This window comes from Homo sapiens, chromosome 12 (assembly GCF_000001405.40).
Source record: "Homo sapiens chromosome 12, GRCh38.p14 Primary Assembly".
NCBI lineage: Eukaryota > Metazoa > Chordata > Mammalia > Primates > Hominidae > Homo > Homo sapiens.
The window spans coordinates 2,115,007-2,133,758 of NC_000012.12; the positions used below are offsets into that span (position 1 = coordinate 2,115,007).

General features: G+C 46.8%; 1 protein-coding gene and 1 long non-coding RNA gene across 56 annotated transcripts in view; both read left to right on the forward strand.

Moving 5' to 3' along the window:
- The window catches only part of CACNA1C (calcium voltage-gated channel subunit alpha1 C), a 727,171-nt gene that overhangs the window by 144,227 nt on the left and 564,192 nt on the right, over window positions 1-18,752 (forward strand). For all 55 annotated transcript variants that reach the window (XM_017019926.3, XM_017019934.3, XM_017019946.3 and 52 more), the window contains 2 exons: window positions 218-539; window positions 5,319-5,424. In XM_017019926.3, coding sequence (XP_016875415.1) covers window positions 218-539; window positions 5,319-5,424 — 428 coding nt within the window. The remainder of the gene's footprint in view (window positions 1-217; window positions 540-5,318; window positions 5,425-18,752) is intronic.
- Window positions 16,963-18,752, forward strand: part of LOC107984131 (uncharacterized) — a 36,596-nt gene continuing 34,806 nt past the window's right edge. Inside the window, exon 1 of the long non-coding RNA XR_001749435.2 lies at window positions 16,963-17,005. This is a non-coding gene — a long non-coding RNA (uncharacterized LOC107984131). The remainder of the gene's footprint in view (window positions 17,006-18,752) is intronic.

Genomic DNA, 18,752 nt, shown 5'->3' on the forward strand with positions numbered 1-18,752 from the left:
GACACGCCCAAGGTCACCCAGCTAAACCAGGACCGCAACGATCCTGGCCCTCTTCCCTCAGCATCTCACACTCATGTTTCCACGTGCCACCTCCTAACCGCCTGCAATAGCTTGAAATAAGGTTTTGAAAAAATTGTGAATCTGGGGTCCAGAGAGTGTCGGAAGTGCCCCTGTTTTCTATCTAGTAACTGTTGTGTTCTTTTCTCTTTTGCCACAGGTTCCAACTATGGGAGCCCACGCCCCGCCCATGCCAACATGAATGCCAATGCGGCAGCGGGGCTGGCCCCTGAGCACATCCCCACCCCGGGGGCTGCCCTGTCGTGGCAGGCGGCCATCGACGCAGCCCGGCAGGCTAAGCTGATGGGCAGCGCTGGCAATGCGACCATCTCCACAGTCAGCTCCACGCAGCGGAAGCGGCAGCAATATGGGAAACCCAAGAAGCAGGGCAGCACCACGGCCACACGCCCGCCCCGAGCCCTGCTCTGCCTGACCCTGAAGAACCCCATCCGGAGGGCCTGCATCAGCATTGTCGAATGGAAATATCCTTTGTTCACCGGGCTGGGCATGCTCCTGGGACCTGCACGCTGGGTCCAGCCCTCCGAGGCTCCCTGGGCCACGAGCTGTGTCAGCTGTGCTGGGCTACAAACGGGGCCTCGGGCCTACTGCATCTGCATCACTGGGGTGCTGTGAAATGCAGAGTTCTGGGCCCCGCCCTAGACTGGATGAATCAGAATATCTGGGGACGGGGCCCAGCAATCTGCTTGTATAATAAGCTGCCTGGGTTGGGTTTTTGTTTTTTGTTTTTTTCATATAATAAGCAACATTTGAGAAAATCAGCCTAAGAAGTTATGAAATATCATCTCCTGTAGCTGAGCTTGCCCAGGGGCCCACTCATGTGTTGGGGTAACAGTCGTTAGTTACATGCTGCCTCATTCCCTTCTTTCCCTTCTGTGCCATGGCGCTGGATGCTTTCACGGCCTTCCCTCTCTCTAGGGTGAAGGGGCTCAGGAGATGGAAGAGCGTAGTGGTCAGGGCCCCTGGCTGTTGGCTGGAGGGCCCTGAAGCAGTGGTTCTCAGCCCTGATTGCACATTAGAGTCTCCTGGAAAGTTATAACAAACTACAGACCACTCAGTTCCACCTAGGCATAAAAACAAACAAACAAAAAACAACAACGGAAAACTCTCTGGGTAATTCTAATGTGCAGACAAAGTTGAGAACACTGTCTGGAAGTGTTCTGTTTGTCCATATAGAAACAAGCAAATGGGTCCTTCAGAAACAGTGGCTTTGAAGGGATGGGCGCTCGCTGTGGAGTTACAAGCCCCTTACTTCATCAGAATCCTGGGGCTGTAGAAATTGGGAAGGACTTTTTTTTTTTTTTTTTTGAGACGGAGTCTCGCTCTGTCACCCAGGCTGGAGTGCAGTGGTGCCGTCTCGGCTCACTGCAAGCTCCTGGGTTCGCACCATTGTCCTGCCTCAGCCTCCTGTATAGCCGGGACCACAGGTGCCCGCCACCACGCTCGGCTATTCTTTTTTGTATTTTTAGTAGAAACGGGGTTTCACCGTGTTAGCCAGGATGGTCTCGATCTCCTAACCTCGTGATCTGCCTGCCTCGGCCTCCCAAAGTGTTGGGATTACAGGTGTAATCTGCCACCGTGCCCAGCCCAGAAAGGACCTTTAAGTGCTGAAGTTCCTCCCCCACTTCCACGAGTGATGAAATTGAGCCCCACAGGAGAGGCTCCCCAGGGTCATGTGGTCAGGAACAGATGGGACTAGAACCCTGGTACTGACTGTGGGAATTTTTATAATAAGGATTCCTCCAGGCAGGACTGCTGTGTCTCTCAAGGGCCAGGATGGGAGCATTAGGCTTCATCGATGAGTTTCTATGGAAAGATTTAAAAGTCTCAGGTACTGGTTGAAAGAAGGTAGCCTAGAGATAAAGAAAGTTTCTATTGAGACAGAAATGTTCTATAAATGTTTGAGGCCAGGTGCGGTGGCTCACGCCTGTAATCCCAGCACTTTGGGAAGCCAAGGCAGGTGGATCACCTGAGGTCAGGAGTTCGAGACCAGCCTGGCCAACATGAGGTGAAACCTTATCTCTGCTAATAATACAAAAATTAGCCAGGCGTTGGGGCACATGCCAGTAATTCCAGCTGCTCGGGAGGCTGAGGCAAGAGAATTGCTTGAACTCGGGACGAAGAGGTTGCAGTGAGCTGAGATCATGCCACTGCACTCCAGCCTGAGGAAAAGAGTGAAACTCTGTCTCAAATAAATAAATAAATAAATATAAATGTTTGAGCCCCTCAACTTAAAAGTATTTTAAGAAAATGCATTTTAAAACAAGTGGCTGCAGCTGCCTGAGTGGCCAAGCATGGTTTTAGTGCCCGGGGTACTGGATGGGAGACTAGGCTTTAGTCAGCCCCATAGGACTGCTTGCATATCTGCTCACGGTGGAGTCAGGGAGTGGGAGAGCTGAGGGCCCTGCAGGTCAGGCACCCCTGAGAGAAGGGCAGCAAGGCCCAGAGAAGACAAAGGGCTTGCCCTAAATCACGCAGCTGGCAACTGACAGAGCTGGACTTCAAATCCAGGTTCCCCTGACCCCGAAGTCCATGCCCATCCCACACCCCATGCATCCATAGTACTGGGTAGGACTAGGCAGGTACTAGTAGATACTAGGTGGGACCGGTGAGGTCTTAGGAGGATGCTCAGGGCCTGCAGTCCAGGTGCACTGGGACACGCCGGACCTGGATCCGGGCCTAACACCTACTCCCTGGGTGCTGTGGCCACCCCTCCGGGGGAGTGTGCCTTCCCACCTGGAGGAGAGGAAGGGGGCCCAGCCTTAGCAGTGCCAGGTGGGTGGCATTCCAAGATTGCTTGGGAAGACTGGCTGGACAGGGAAGGAGATAGCCTGGAGTACTAGCCAGCCAGTTCTTCTTGAAGAAGTGGAATCCGACCCTGTCATTAGGAAGGGAACTCAGCTTAAAAAGTAATCTGGGCCTCAAAAGGCGACACAGAGCACTTCCCAGGGCTTACCTGGGTTCTCTGCTTTTCAGCCAGTGGCTTTTCTTCTCTGCCTGATTGGTTTTTACACATGATCTTCTCTGGCATTAGCCCAGTGCCTTTAGCATGAAGTGAAGGATGGATAGGTGGAGAGTCTGAATGAGGGGAGGGGAACTGATAGTGCCAGAAACCCCAAGCTCAGCTGTGCCCCACTGTGGTGGAGGCAATGAAGTGACATGTTCTGGGTGTGTGTGCACGGGTCTGGTTTGGCTGGGTTGTTGCATCCTTGTCCCGATGGGGAGAGCACAGGCACCAGCTGATGGAATGAAACTGGCCAGCCTGTGGGCTCGGTGTCACTTTCCTAAGCAGGCGAGAAAAGGTTTGGGAGGCAAGAGGTGGCGTGGTAGGAGGGCTAAAAGAACTGCCTATGAAGGCTTCAAGGTAACTTTAGAGTGGATCAGTATAGAATAGTCCTTAACACTGAGACTGCCTGAGCTTGGATCCCATCCTACTACTTGCTCTGTGACCTGGCACAAGTTAACGTCTGACCCTTCTGTGCCTCAGTTTTCTCATTTAGAAAGTGGGGATCACAAGCGTACATTCCACACAGAGCATTTCTGTTGGGCCGTAAGAATGTGCCTGGCACTGAGCAAGCTCTTGGCAGAGGTCAGCTTCTGTCCTTACTGTCACCAGCACCAGCATCAGCGTCTGTCTCCCATCATCACTACTTGTGCCTCATCCAACACAAGGGCAGCAGAATGTAAAAGCTTAGTCCGTCTGGGTTCCGGTCCAGGCTCTGCTATATGCCAGCTTGGGGTCTTGGACTGGCTGCTTTACTTTTCACCCCTGCAAAGTTGGGAGATTGACAGGTCCACTGTGTGGCATCTTTTTTGATATCAAGGTGGACATAGAAAATGTTCTACAGGAAAATGGATCCTCAGAAGTACCCACAGGACTAGGGAGACTAGTGCTAAGATAATCACTCGGGTTCCTCCCAGTTCAGAATTCTGTGACGCTGGCCCAGGGCTGCCCCTTAACACGTCAGAAGGCCGTCTGTGGCAGGGGAGTGAACACTGGACTTGGTGATCGGGAAATCCGGGCTCTAGTCTCAGCTGGTCATTAACTTGCTGTGGGGCCTTGGGAAAGTTCCTCAGGCTCTCTGGGCCTCAGAGGGTTAGACTAGATCATCTCTAAGGTCTCTTTCTGCCTCAATATTCACTAACTTTGTGAGTATGGATTTCCCTGAGAGAATTATGGTGGTCCCTTCACCCCGGATCTCCACCCCTCTCTGTCTTCCTCCTCCTCCTCCTGTGAGACTCCATGAACTGGGCTGCAAACTTGGCAGTGGGAGCGGGGTAGGTGGGAGTGGAGCTGGAAGAGCATAGACGGGCCCTTCCTGGGAAGCTTCCCCTTGCTGGCCTTCCATGGAGGGTGTGGGGTGGTCCCGTCGGAAGGGGTATTATCACATTAGCTCATTTTTCTCTTGAGAGCGTGTCCTGCCCTGAAAATGTGATGAAGAAGTCAGGGCATGGGAACCTCTGCCTGCACTACTACTGGTGAGGGAACCTTGGGCTGTCCCACTAGAGCCCAGCACACACCAAGGAAAAATCAGGAGGCCTTGGAATCAAAGCTTTGCCTGCTGAAGCGGGACCTCTGCAGACCAGAGGGGTTTCTATGCTGTCTGTGAGACTCAGCCTTAAAGAGGAGACAGCTTTCCTTCCCTACACTCAGGACGGACCCCCTGCCGTACTCTTGGGGGTCTTCAGGATCTCTGGAACCTGCCAGAGAATGAGAGAGAAGAAATGGAAACCACTCTTAACCTTAGTTTAAAAGATTAAAAATAAAATCTCCAAATTTCAATGAAACCCAGAGAAAGTCTCTCTGTCTTGGAATCCTGTTCCACCCATGTCCCCCGTTCCAGGTGGGCGTGGGCCCACAGGCCGTTCGGCATAAACTGTGAAGAAACGGGGTGCTTGGCGCAGGCCATGCTCTTTAGAGGCAACCTCAGGCACACATTGGGGAGAATGAAGACCAATGCAATCTAAATAAATGAAAGGAGGGGAACAAGTTTTTAGAAATCTGTGTTTACTCTGGCACGCGACTGGCCTCCACTGCTTTTGACATATTAGGGAAAATTTTGGCGGGGACCCACTAGAAGCACTTAAAAAGGCATATGTTTCTTTTCAGAATACAAGGGGCTTGGAATGCATTGTTTAAACAAAATTCTTATGAATCTTTGATTCATTTTAAAAAATATGTAGATTATGTTTGTTTCACTTGTACTTTCTGTGGCATTAACTTCCTTGACTCCCTTTCTCAGACCATTTGAAATAATTATTTTACTGACTATTTTTGCCAATTGTGTGGCCTTAGCGATCTATATTCCCTTTCCAGAAGATGATTCCAACGCCACCAATTCCAACCTGGTAAGTCCACCATCCTCAAGTCTCTGCTTTTTCACTCGATGGAGAACTGCGTTCAGATCACATAGATGCATGGAATGTGGGAGAGAAGTGAGACGTGTGTTTGGCATGTGCAGGAGCCCTGCAGAGCTCACATCCCGAGTGCTGTTTTACTCTTTATTCAAATCAGCACCTGTCTCATTCCGGCCTGTTTTCCAAAAGAATATTCCAGTTAGGTGGTGGTGAGCTCTGTGTGTGTGTGTGTGTGTGTGTGTGTGTGTGTGTGTGTGTTTAGTAGCAAATCCCGTGACTGCTACAAAATGTGCTGCAAAAGTTGTGAGTGCAGGTGTTCGCTGCAGCGAACATCTGTTCTTGGATTGTGTTGTATTTCCTTTGAATGTCTTTGTTCCATTGGTGGGGTTTGCTCAGGTGATCTGGAGTGTTGCTGCACGATAAATAATTTCTAGGAAGCTTTTAGGAACATTTGCTTTTGCAGCCAACATGTATTATTGAGTTAGAAGGGCCTTATTTTATTGGGAAAGGCGGCTTTCCATTTGGATTGTTGAGGGGCCAGCTCTGGCAATTTGGGGTTAGAATTGGTCCATGGAAAAAGTGGAGAGTGTGTTTACTTTTGGCTGAGCTTGAAGTCATTACAAAGACTTTTGCTCCATCTGGGCATGTGAGGAAAAGAGCTCTGGAATGCAGTTGGCAAAATTGGGGCACTCCAGGATGCCTCTGCAAAAGGCATGCAGGGAAAATCCCGTCTCTTTCTCCCCCTCCATTGCAGAGACACCGTCACTCTCCACGTGATTTCCACATGGCGTGTTTGGTCATCAGAGCCACCGTCTTTCCCCTGCCGTCAGTACCTTCCTTTAATTACTGAGATGGAACCGTCCAATGAGATGGTTTTTAAAAGAAGCAGGCAGCTTATAGGATTCTCCTTTCCACAGCTGCTGGGCTGATGCCATCACAGGGTGGTTCTTGTATTTTGTAACCTTTGACATTTTCTTGGGCCCTTTCAGCAAAAAAAAATATGATGCACGTTTTAACTTCTCAGCTGTCGCCCCAGTTTTTTCAGGTAACCGCTGATGCATAGCAGGTAAGGTGTTCACCGCCTGCGGGCTGTGGTGTCTTGTGGCTCGGCTTGGGGCCCTTTGTTGGGGACAGGCTCCAAAAATTTCAAAGCTGGGCACACCACTGAGTGATGGCATGGCCAGAGTCGGAAGGCAGAGCATCGGCCGCCGTCCGTGAGGCCATCCGAAGCGTGACCTCATCTCTTAAGGGGCAAGAAATCTTTACTGTGTCAAAATAAATACAAGCCAAAGTGTCTCCCTGAAGCAGGAACTCCTTCCCTTGGTTCCATTTCTTCCCTGTGTAGCCACCTCCTTCCTCTGCCATGGTCCTCCCAACCCTCCTACAGTTTCACATTTAATCTGCAACTTTTAAAGAGGAGCCTTCGTTCCACATAGAATCCGTATCTTGTTCTTAAGCTGATGACACTTGGGGCTGCTCAAGGCCCATGCAGTGGTGAAGGTGTGTAGAGGAGTTTGGTTTTTCTTAGGTCCTGAGATGGCCACATGTAGCCCCTTCACCCCTCGGTTTCCAGGAGGATTAAGGGAGCCACTTGGCTTGCTGAGCTAGAGGGAAGCCCTGGGCTGGCTGAGACCCCTCAACTCTGGACCTCCTGGAGGCAGAGGGGCTCGTAGGAGAGGACAAGAGGTCACCCTGGACTTCTTCTGGAGCTGGAGTGAGGTTGCTGTGTACAGATGAGGTGGGAGGGATGGCAGGTTTTTATCACATCACAGAGTGATGGAAGAATTCTAAAGGAGGTGGTGGGGCTGCTTGCACAACTGTGTAACTTTACCAAACATCATCGAATTGTGTACTTACAGGGGGTGAACTTTATGGTATGGTAATGATACCTCAAAAAAGCTGCAGATGACTTCTCATTCTCTGCATTCCACAATGTCGCACTTCCCCTGGGGCAGTGAATGCTGCCAGCTGAAGGTGGGGGGTGGCATCAGAAAACCCTTAAAACAGATGAATAAATACGACCTCATATCAGCTAATAAATCAGAACACGATTCTGCCCCATGGAGAAACCCATCGCGAGTGCTGTGACCCGGCCTCCCGGTCCTTGCTCTCTACAGCATCTTGAAGCTGCAGCATCTTTGCAGATGCCCCCTTTACAAAGCACATTCTCCCCTTGCTTCTTCCAGCCTCTCCTCCTGTGTCTACACGAACGTTTACTAGGCTTTTGTCCTGAGCCCTCTGATTTTCTTCTTCTGCACTCTCCCTTTGGGGAGCTCATCTGTGTCCACAGATTTAAGTTACCTTTCCAAGTAAATTGTTGCTAAGACTGACATCTCCAGTGCTAAGCCTTTCCAAAGGCCTGGCCCCATATTTCCCGCATTGGAGAGGCCTGTGGACCGGTGCAGCGACCGCTGAGGCCTGCACATCATTACAACCCGAGAGAACTCCAACTGTGCAGACCCCAGCTCCCCTGCGGATCTGATTCACATTTAGTAGTTCTGGGGCATGGTCTGGGGATGCGCATCAAAAAATTTCCTCGCAGGGATGCCGATGATTAGTCAGCTTTGGGAACAACCGGCCTCTTGGGCAGAGCAAAATTTGAGTTGGACAGACCTGACTTCAAATCTTGGCTTCTCCACTTTAAGATTAAGTCTGGGCCGGGCGCAGTGGCCCATGCCTGTAATCCCAGCACTTTGGGAGGTTGAGGCAGGTGGATCATGAGGTCAGGAGATCGAGACCAGCCTGGCTAACACGGTAAAACCCCATCTCTACTAAAAATACAAAAAATTAGCCAGGCGTGGTGGCGGGCACCTGTAGTCCCAGCTACTCAGGAGGCTGAGGCAGGAGAATGGTGTGAACGTGGGAGGCGGAGCTTGCAGTGAGCCGAGATCGCGCCACCGCACTCCAGCCTGGGTGACAGAAGGAGACTCCATCTCAAAAAAAAAAAAAAAAAAAAAAGGTTAAGTCTGAATCTTAGTCTGAGGTTATTTAGTCTTTCCAAACCTCAGTTCCCCAGCTTGTAAAATGGAAGTGACCTCAGAGGGTTCTAGGGAAGAGTAGGGCGGGCAGTGACAATTATATGTGCCAGGATGTCTTGCCAATACCTCAAACAAGCCCCAAATAGAACTCATTCTCTCTCCCACCACACGACCCTGTCCCCCTGAAGAAAACGAAACATAGCCCAGGTGAATGCTGCTCCTTTTCTTTTCCCTTGGCCGGGTTGATGGCATTGCTGGCCTTGCTGTCACATGGAACCATCTCTGACATCTTCTTCCCCTTGCCATGCCCATCTGAGCAGGAATCCAGTCTTGGAGATTGTAATTTGCAATGTATCACATTTAGCTTTCTTTCTATTCTCAAAGTCATTTGTTCAGACTTCCTGTGCCTTAGTTTCTTCATTTATAAAATGGAAATAACGATAATGACAGTACCTACCTCATAGGGTTGTTGTGAAGATTAAATGAGCCAAAATATGTAAAGCCCTTAGGAGAGCACCTTAGTAAGGGCGAAGTGTTGGGTCTTGTTAATAGTGCTGGATACTATTGTTATTATTGTCATCATCATCATCCTTGTCAACCTAACCCAGGCCCTGTTGCCTTTTTCATGGACTCTTACAGTCACCTCCTTCCTGCTGTCCTCCCTCTGGTCTCTCCTTCCACTGGTCTAGCTCGTGTGTGTGTGTGTGTGTGTGTGTGTGTGTGTGTGTGTGTGCAGTCATTTGCCAAACATCTATACCAACAGATAGGCACTATGATTAATAGGGAAGATGAAACTGTAAACAGTTGTTTCAAATAGTGAAAGGTCTTATAAAGGGCCAGGGTGTCAGGGTGGAAGAACTGATTCATTTTGCTGTAGAGAAAGGATTAATGGCAAGTTTCACATAGGTTGACATATTTGCATTGCGTCTCTCAAGAAGAGGATGCCATAAGAGATACTTCAGGTTGAAGTGTACTCATGTGCAAAGGCATGAGTATACATGTGGTCACATTCTTTAGGACCAGAGGAAGGGGTGCTGGTTTTGAGGGGATGAGAAGAGCCAGGTGATGGGGGCTTGATGGCCCATGCAAACTGTTGGACTTAACTGCAGGTGAGGAGGAGGCTCGAAGGCTTTAACGGCAGAGGAGTGCTCTTGCAGCATGAGGAAGATGGCTCAGACGGAGGCCTCACTGTTTGTGAAGAGAAAAAGAAAGCTTGCCAGAGTCCAGATGGTGGTGACAATAAGGATAGAGAGGGGGCAGTGGATTTAGGAGGCAAGCTTGCCTGGACGGGTAACCAGTTGGATATCATGGGTGGCGGAGAGAGCTGGCTCCCAGGATGGTGATACGAGGAGCCAGGTGCCCTTGGCCAGGAGAAAGACTTCAGGAGGAAGGTCATATTTGAGGGGCAGGGAATGATGCGTACGATTAGGGATTGTCAAGTGGAGGAGCCCGTGGAGCGTGAGGCTGGGGATGTCCTACCGGCGGTCGACAGGAGCCTGCAACCCAGGAGACTGTTTATGCTGAGGATGGAGACTTGGGGGCAACAGGAGGAGAGACACAAGGAGAAGCTGTAGGTATGGCCCAGAGCACCTGCATCAGGGTGGAGTGGGAGGGTAGCAGTGACCACAGCCAGACCCTGGAGAACAGTGACGTTTGCAGAGGGTGGAGGAAGAGGAGCAAAGGAAGGTCATACACCACGTGTCAGGAAGGCTTAGCCTGAGAGGTAGGAGGGGAACCTGCTGAGAGTGGAGTCTTAGAAGCTAAGGGAACAGAGAGTTTAAGATATTCAAGAGGGGCTGGTTGGTAGTTCAAAATCGTGGCTCATGGCAACTCAAGGCCAATGACAAGAGGATTGGCCTGACTGAGAAGAGCTGAGCTTAGGGCCAAAAGTACGAGAAGAGGATATTGATCTGTGTCTGTACCCCTATGGAGGCCCTGAAGTAGTAGGTGCATGACAACTGTTTGCTGAGGTTCAATGCTTGAAACATTCCCATTGTTGTGCCAGAGTGGGATGCCCCAAATCACTTATGTACCCCGAAAATGAAGCTTGAGAAATCCTCCATTAGTTTCATAGCTTTTTTTAAAAAATTAAAGAATTGCGATTTCAGAGCCCTACTCTGAGAAACAGCAAAGAAGAGATGCTGATGCACCTGAAGCAGGTGGCTCTCAACCCCTGTGGCATAAGTTCATAGAGATGATTAAAATGCATGTTCCCAGGCCCTGCTCCCAGAGATTCTGACTCTGGAGTGGGCCCTAGGAGTTTGAATTTTTAATAAGCTCCCCTGGGGTTCTGATGCAAGTGGTCCTGGGCTGCTCTTTGAGAACAGTGACCTAGAATGTTCCTCATGGTGTGATTGGATCCACCTTCAGCTCCCTCCGCAATCAGCTCTGTCTACCCACAGGTTCCCTTTAGGATCCAAGCAGAAAGACGACACACGTCAACTGCTGAGAGCTTTCCCACTCCATTGGGTTCAAGAATAATCTATTTAGCAAAGCACACTCACACTGTCACAGAATTAGAAAAGATTCTTCTTTTCACACACACTTGCAAATTCACATCTGTGCTTGCTCCTGCTCTCAGATTCCCTCGCAAACGCATCGGCTTCCACCCATTCTGTCGCAGGCCCTTTCCTTTCTCCCACTTATTTTTCTAACACTTTGCTTTCTTCTGTTTCCAAGAGATGAAAAGTATTCCAGAATAGAGTTTTTTTTTTAAAAGATCTCTCTCTCATTATTTAAATAAAAGTCTGTTTGTTGTATGCTCCATCTAACATACACTTTTGCACCAAAATCCATCATCTTTGTTATCTTTTCCTCATGCTAGTGAAGCATAATGAAAGCTGAACTGGGCCATGACATGACAATTCTTTCTTTAGATTTAGTGCTGTTATTGGCAATGCCACCTCTATGCAGCACATCGTTTATAATATAGCAGCTGTAACCCCTGTCTACCAAGAGCTATTACCTGTTAGGTAGATTGTCTGATGTCTGTTGAACAAGCTCTGCAAGCGGAGCCGACTCATTGTGTGTGGAAAACTTCCTGTCCTCTGCATACCCTGAAGCCCACGAAGACTTGGCTTGAGTTGAAATATTAAGAGAATATATTTGGCATTTGACCTTGTGCAAAGAACAGTGCATGTACTTTCTGGAGCAAGAGCCAAGCTTGAAGTGGAGGTGGAGAGAAGACGGGATGAGGCCATCAAAGGGATCATCTTTTGGCTGGGCTTTCTTCCTTCAGAGGTTGTGAGAGGAGAAGCCGTCCGTCAGAGGGGCTTGAGCTAGACTAGGAAGAAGGTTGAGATGTCAGATTTGCCCATTTATTGGTGTAAAATTGGGGCAACCAGAGTTGCCTCATAACCTGGCTGAGAGGATTAAGTGAGTTACCATAAGTAAACTTCACAGGACATGCCCAGCACAGGCGAATGTGTGTTGCTCTTTGGAACTCTAAGCCAGGCTGAGGGCCCCTCCCCTCTGCCTGGTCCCTGGGGGTAAGTCACAGTCATTGGCACCTTGTGCTAGCTTTGGCCTCAGAAGGGTGGGAAAGAAGAGACCAAAACGCTGTGCTTTTTGGCAGCTGTGACCCAGCAAGATTAGTGTCTGTGTGCTCACCCTTGCCTTCTGACTACACAGGGAGAGAAGCTGGGATCCATTAATGGCCAAAGAAGAGCCCCAGAGGGAGAGCACTGGTGGGGGACCCCACTCCCCCACCCCTGAGCTTTGTGTGTCTCTTGCCAGTCTGCTCAGGAGGTGCCTGTCAGCCTGAGGTTCCCCCATTCCCACACAGTGCTGGGTTGAATCACCCGACATGGGGCCCTGCACTTGGACCACCACCGCAAGTTCTGAGATGCGTCTGAGCCCTATCGCCCCCCGTGCTTTGAGAAGTGAATGGAAATGCCACTTTGGGTTCCCCTCCTCTCCCTGCAGTGAACTGTGTTTTCTTTTATTATCAGGTTTGCCTAAGAGTGAGAAGTATTTTTATAGGGCTTTCATGCATCAACAATAATGATGACAATGAAATGAGCTTTATTATTGCTATCTCTTATGTGTTGTCCTAATGCAGCAGGTGTTAGGGTTTGCAGAAATGCTAGGGTTATAAAATACACTAATAGATAACTACAAGCAACAAACCACATAGCTACTGTATCATGTACAAACACCCTGTCCTGTGCTGTGTAGTGGGGTGTGGAAGGCAGGGTGGAGAGCCTGTTTTTGGATGAGAGAATGAGCTTGACACAGCGCATTGGGAAAGTGCTTCTACGGAGTCAGTTCTCCCCTCAGATTTTCCGGCTGAATGGGTCTGAGTGGGACCTGGGTGTGGGTGTGTCTTAAAAGCTATACCAGAGCCAGAGTTGCAGGCACTGACCTAGGAAGAGAGATCTGAACTGTGTGGCCTTAGGTCAGTCACTTAACCTCTCTGTTGGTATCTCTTTTGGCACGTGGAGTAGTAATGCTTGCTTAGTCATTGTAATTGCCTTTATTGAGTGACCACCAGGTACCAGAGCTTTGCGTGCAATGTTTCTAATCTCCACAACTGTAAATTATGCTTTCTATTTATTTGTTTACTTGATGGTAGAGAATGTATCCCTCTTGTTCATGGCTGTATCCCCAGTGCTTTGGCAATAACTGGCACACGTAAGGCTCTCCATAAATATCTGCTGAGTGAACCCTGGGTGAATGAATGGATCCTGTGAAGTGTTATCCCTTTATTTCAGATAAGAAAGTAAAGTCTCAGAGAAGTAAAGTGACTTGGTGAGGCAGTGGCAGGGCTGTAGTTGGAACTTAGGACTGTATGAAACCACAGCTTGGGTTCTTTGCTCTGTTCCCTGGGATGTGTAGGGTCGCTGTGAGTATCCAATGAAGTATATGTGAAAATATTTTAAAGATTAAACACTCTGTAGCAGTATTAACAGATTTAAAATAAAAACAAACAAAATTTGGTTCTGTTGCAAAATAAATTCAGTAAGTACCAAGTTAGCCAAAGGTAAATACATTATTTTTTTACCTTTTTTTTGAGACAGAGTCTCTCTCTGTCGCCCAGGCTGGAGTGCAGTGGCGCGATCTCGGCTCACTGCAAGCTCCACCTCCCGGGTTCACGCCGTTCTCCCGTCTCAGCCTCCCGAGTAGCTGGGACTACACGCGCTCAGCACCATGCCCAGCTAATTTTTTTGTATTTTTAGTAGAGACGGGGTTTCACCGTGTTAGTCAGGATGGTCTCGATCTCCTGACCTCGTGATCTGCCCGCCTCGGCCTCCCAAAATGCTGGGATTACAGGCGTGAGCCACTGCGCCCGGCCAGGTAAATACATTATTATAAGACTTCTCCAAGCCTCTAACACAACAGCAACAGACACTACTTATGACTTCACACCATGTGCAGATGCTGTCCTAAGTGCCTTGCGTATAAATGCGTTTAAACATGATTATAGCACGATGAGATGTTATTATCCCATTCAATAGATGAGCACACACAAGCTCAGAGAAGGTAAATAATTCACCCTGTGAGATGTAGCCCTGAAGCGAAGTCATGGCCATGCAGAAGTGGGTGAGGCATCTCCCGGTCTGTGTTCTTAGCCATTCTGCTACAGCTGCCTCCTTGTGTGGTAAGGTGCTCCGTGAGTCCCTGGACTAGCCAGACAGCACATCACCTTTCCCACTCATACCATCACAGACATCTTGAAGAATGGTGTTCCCGGGCTCACACCTTTGGGAAATGCTGCTCTGTGTTGCCCCAAGAACCGATGCATTAGGAGAAAGGACAGAGCTGGAAACGGGATGAGACACGTTGCAAGGCTGGTGTAGGAAAGGAGCAAAGACCACAGGACTGTCTTCATCAGGAACATGGCATTTCAAAATAGATGGCAGCTTCTGGATGGGTCTGTGCTTCATCTCATGGTCATAAACCCGCAGAGAGCCTGGGGCAATTGTTTGACTCAGGGTTTACTCACTAAATATTTCAGAGAGAGGAGAAAGCATTGTCTGCTCTGCGTTTGCCAGCGGATGGGAAAAGAGAGATGATGATTTGAAGTCTAAATATGGTGACACCTCTTGCTCCAGTTTTATCCATCTTTATTCATTTTTTGGGGGAGAATCTTCCAAATAAATTCACTGTTTATGTAATAGAACCCCTTTCATGTACCAAACTTCTTGTAATTTAAGTATATTTGAAGGAAGTCTTTCCAGAATATAAAATACAAATCCCTGGATCCTTAAAAGAAAAATCTGAACATATTTCATCCTTTTTCTGGGACTATACAATTCTTAGGAATTTCAATGATTGCACCTGTTGTAATGCTGGGGAGCTGTCAGGAGAGCTAAGCAACCCGCACAGGGTCCCGGAACGTCCTGACCTGGGGAAGATTTGGGATGTGCCTTTCATGCACCACCCTGTTGGGGTGTCAGCCTCCTCCAGCACCAGCCTGATTAATTTGCTCCCCCCTCTCTCCTGCAGGCTTGGGAACCAGTTGATCAAGTCCATTACAGTTATGTGCAAAGTTAGAGTAAATAGATCCTGATTGAGGACCTATGGGGCTTACTTATGAATAAAGTGCATTAGCTTTAATTTATGGGTTTTATAACATTGATTTTGGCTTCTTAGAAGCCATTTTTCCCCTTTATTCTCTTTGTTCTCTCTAGTTTCTGTATGATTGAAGTTGTTGGATTGGCGCCTTCTAACTAATAATAATAGCAGCAATAACTTCAGCCCTTACGCTGCTGGCATTGCTCTATGGTCCGTGTGTTAACTCATTTAGTCCCCTCGACTACCCCATGAGACCTTTCTTTTTTTTTTTTTTTTTTTTAATGCCAAACATTACATTTTATTACCTTTGAGCTTATTAACCAGCTTTGCGTTTATTAGCAAATACATTTAAATATCTCTTTTTTTTTTCTTTTCTTTTTTTATTATACTTTAGGTTTTAGGGTACATGTGCACATTGTGCAGGTTAGTTACATATGTATACATGTGCCATGCTGGTGCGCTGCACCCACTAACTCATCATCTAGCATTAGGTATATCTCCCAATGCTATCCCTCCCCCCTCCCCCCACCCCACCACAGTCCCCAGAGTGTGATATTCCCTTTCCTGTGTCCATGTGATCTCATTGTTCAATTCCCACCTATGAGTGAGAATATGCGGTGTTTGGTTTTTTGTTCTTGTGATAGTTTACTGAGAATGATGATTTCCAATTTCATCCATGTCCCTACAAAGGACATGAACTCATCATTTTTTATGGCTGCATAGTATTCCATGGTGTATATGTGCCACATTTTCTTAATCCAGTCTATCATTGTTGGACATTTGGGTTGGTTCCAAGTCTTTGCTATTGTGAATAATGCCGCAATAAACATACGTGTGCATGTGTCTTTATAGCAGCATGATTTATAGTCATTTGGGTATATACCCAGTAATGGGATGGCTGGGTCAAATGGTATTTCTAGTTCTAGATCCCTGAGGAATCGCCACACTGACTTCCACAATGGTTGAACTAGTTTACAGTCCCACCAACAATGTAAAAGTGTTCGTATTTCTCCACATCCTCTCCAGCACCTGTTGTTTCCTGACTTTTTAATGATTGCCATTCTAACTGGTGTGAGATGGTATCTCATTGTGGTTTTGATTTGCATTTCTCTGATGGCCAGTGATGATGAGCATTTTTTCATGTGTTTTTTGGCTGCATAAATGTCTTCTTTTGAGAAGTGTCTGTTCATGTCCTTCGCCCACTTTTTGATGGGGTTGTTTGTTTTTTTCTTGTAAATTTGGTTGAGTTCATTGTAGATTCTGGATATTAGCCCTTTGTCAGATGAGTAGGTTGCGAAAATTTTCTCCCATGTTGTAGGTTGCCTGTTCACTCTGATGGTAGTTTCTTTTGCTGTGCAGAAGCTCTTTAGTTTAATTAGATCCCATTTGTCAATTTTGTCTTTTGTTGCCATTGCTTTTGGTGTTTTGGACATGAAGTCCTTGCCCATGCCTATGTCCTGAATGGTAATGCCTAGGTTTTCTTCTAGGGTTTTTATGGTTTTAGGTCTAACGTTTAAATCTTTAATCCATCTTGAATTGATTTTTGTATAAGGTGTAAGGAAGGGATCCAGTTTCAGCTTTCTACATATGGCTAGCCAGTTTTCCCAGCACCATTTATTAAATAGGGAATCCTTTCCCCATTTCTTGTTTTTCTCAGGTTTGTCAAAGATCAGACAGTTGTAGGTATGCGGTGTTATTTCTGAGGGCTCTGTTCTGTTCCATTGATCTATATCTCTGTTTTGGTACCAATACCATGCTGTTTTGGTTACTGTAGCCTTGTAGTAAAGTTTGAAGTCAGGTAGTGTGATGCCTCCAGCTTTGTTCTTTTGGCTTAGGATTGACTTGGCAATGCGGGCTCTTTTTTGGTTCCATATGAAGTTTAAAGTAGTTTTTTCCAATTCTGTGAAGAAAGTCATTGGTAGCTTGATGGGGATGGCATTGAATCTGTAAATTACCTTGGGCAGTATGGCCATTTTCACAATATTGATTCTTCCTACCCATGAGCATGGAATGTTCTTCCATTTGTTTGTATCCTCTTTTATTTCCTTGAGCAGTGGTTTGTAGTTCTCCTTGAAGAGGTCCTTCACAACCCTTGTAAGTTGGATTCCTAGGTATTTTATTCTCTTTGAGCAATTGTGAATGGGAGTTCACTTATGATTTGGCTCTCTGTTTGTCTGTTGTTGGTGTATAAGAATGCTTGTGATTTTTGTACATTGATTTTGTATCCTGAGACTTTGCTGAAATTGCTTATCAGCTTAAGGAGATTTTGGGCTGAGACAATGGGGTTTTGTAGATATACAATCATGTCATCTGCAAACAGGGACAATTTGACTTCCTCTTTTCCTAATTGAATACCCTTTATTTCCTTCTCCTGCCTAATTGCCCTGGCCAGAACTTCCAACACTATGTTGAATAGGAGTGGTGAGAGAGGGCATCCCTGTCTTGTGCCAGTTTTCAAAGGGAATGCTTCCAGTTTTTGCCCATTCAGTATGATATTGGCTGTGGGTTTTTCATAGATAGCTCTTATTATTTTGAAATACGTCCCATCAATACCTAATTTATTGAGAGTTTTTAGCATGAAGGGTTGTTGAATTTTGTCAAAGGCTTTTTCTGCATCTATTGAGATAATCATGTGGTTTTTGTCTTTGGTTCTGTTTATGTGCTGGATTACATTTATTGATTTGCGTATATTGAACCAGCCTTGCATCCCAGGGATGAAGCCCACTTGATCATGGTGGATAAGCTTTTTGATGTGCTGCTGGATTCGGTTTGCCAGTATTTTATTGAGGATTTTTGCATCAGTGTTCATCAAGGATATTGGTCTAAAATTCTCTTTTTTTGTTGTGTCTCTGCCCGGCTTTGGTATCAGAATGATGCTGGCCTCATAAAATGAGTTAGGGAGGATTCCCTCTTTTTCTATTGATTGGAATAGTTTCAGAAGGAATGGTACCAGTTCCTCCTTGTACCTCTGGTAGAATTCGGCTGTGAATCCATCTGGTCCTGGACTCTTTTTGGTTGGTAAGCTATTGATTATTGCCACAATTTCAGCTCCTGTTATTGGTCTATTAAGAGATTCAACTTCTTCCTGGTTTAGTCTTGGGAGAGTGTATGTGTCGAGGAATTTATCCATTTCTTCTAGATTTTCTAGTTTATTTGCGTAGAGGTGTTTGTAGTATTCTCTGATGGTAGTTTGTATTTCTGTGGGATCGGTGGTGATATCCCCTTTATCATTTTTTATTGTGTCTATTTGATTCTTCTCTCTTTTTTTCTTTATTAGTCTTGCTAGTGGTCTATCAATTTTGTTGATCCTTTCAAAAAACCAGCTCCTGGATTCATTGATTTTTTGAAGGGTTTTTTGTGTCTCTATTTCCTTCAGTTCTGCTCTGATTTTAGTTATTTCTTGCCTTCTGCTAGCTTTTGAATGTGTTTGCTCTTGCTTTTCTAGTTCTTTTAATTGTGATGTTAGGGTGTCAATTTTGGATCTTTCCTGCTTTCTCTTGTGGGCATTTAGTGCTATAAATTTCCCTCTACACACTGCTTTGAATGCATCCCAGAGATTCTGGTATGTTGTGTCTTTGTTCTCGTTGGTTTCAAAGAACATCTTTATTTCTGACTTCATTTCGTTATGTACCCAGTAGTCATTCAGGAGCAGGTTGTTCAGTTTCCATGTAGTTGAGTGGCTTTGAGTGAGATTCTTAATCCTGAGTTCTAGTTTGATTGCACTGTGGTCTGAGAGATAGTTTGTTATAATTTCTGTTCTTTTACATTTGCTGAGGAGAGCTTTACTTCCAACTATGTGGTCAATTTTGGAATAGGTGTGGTGTG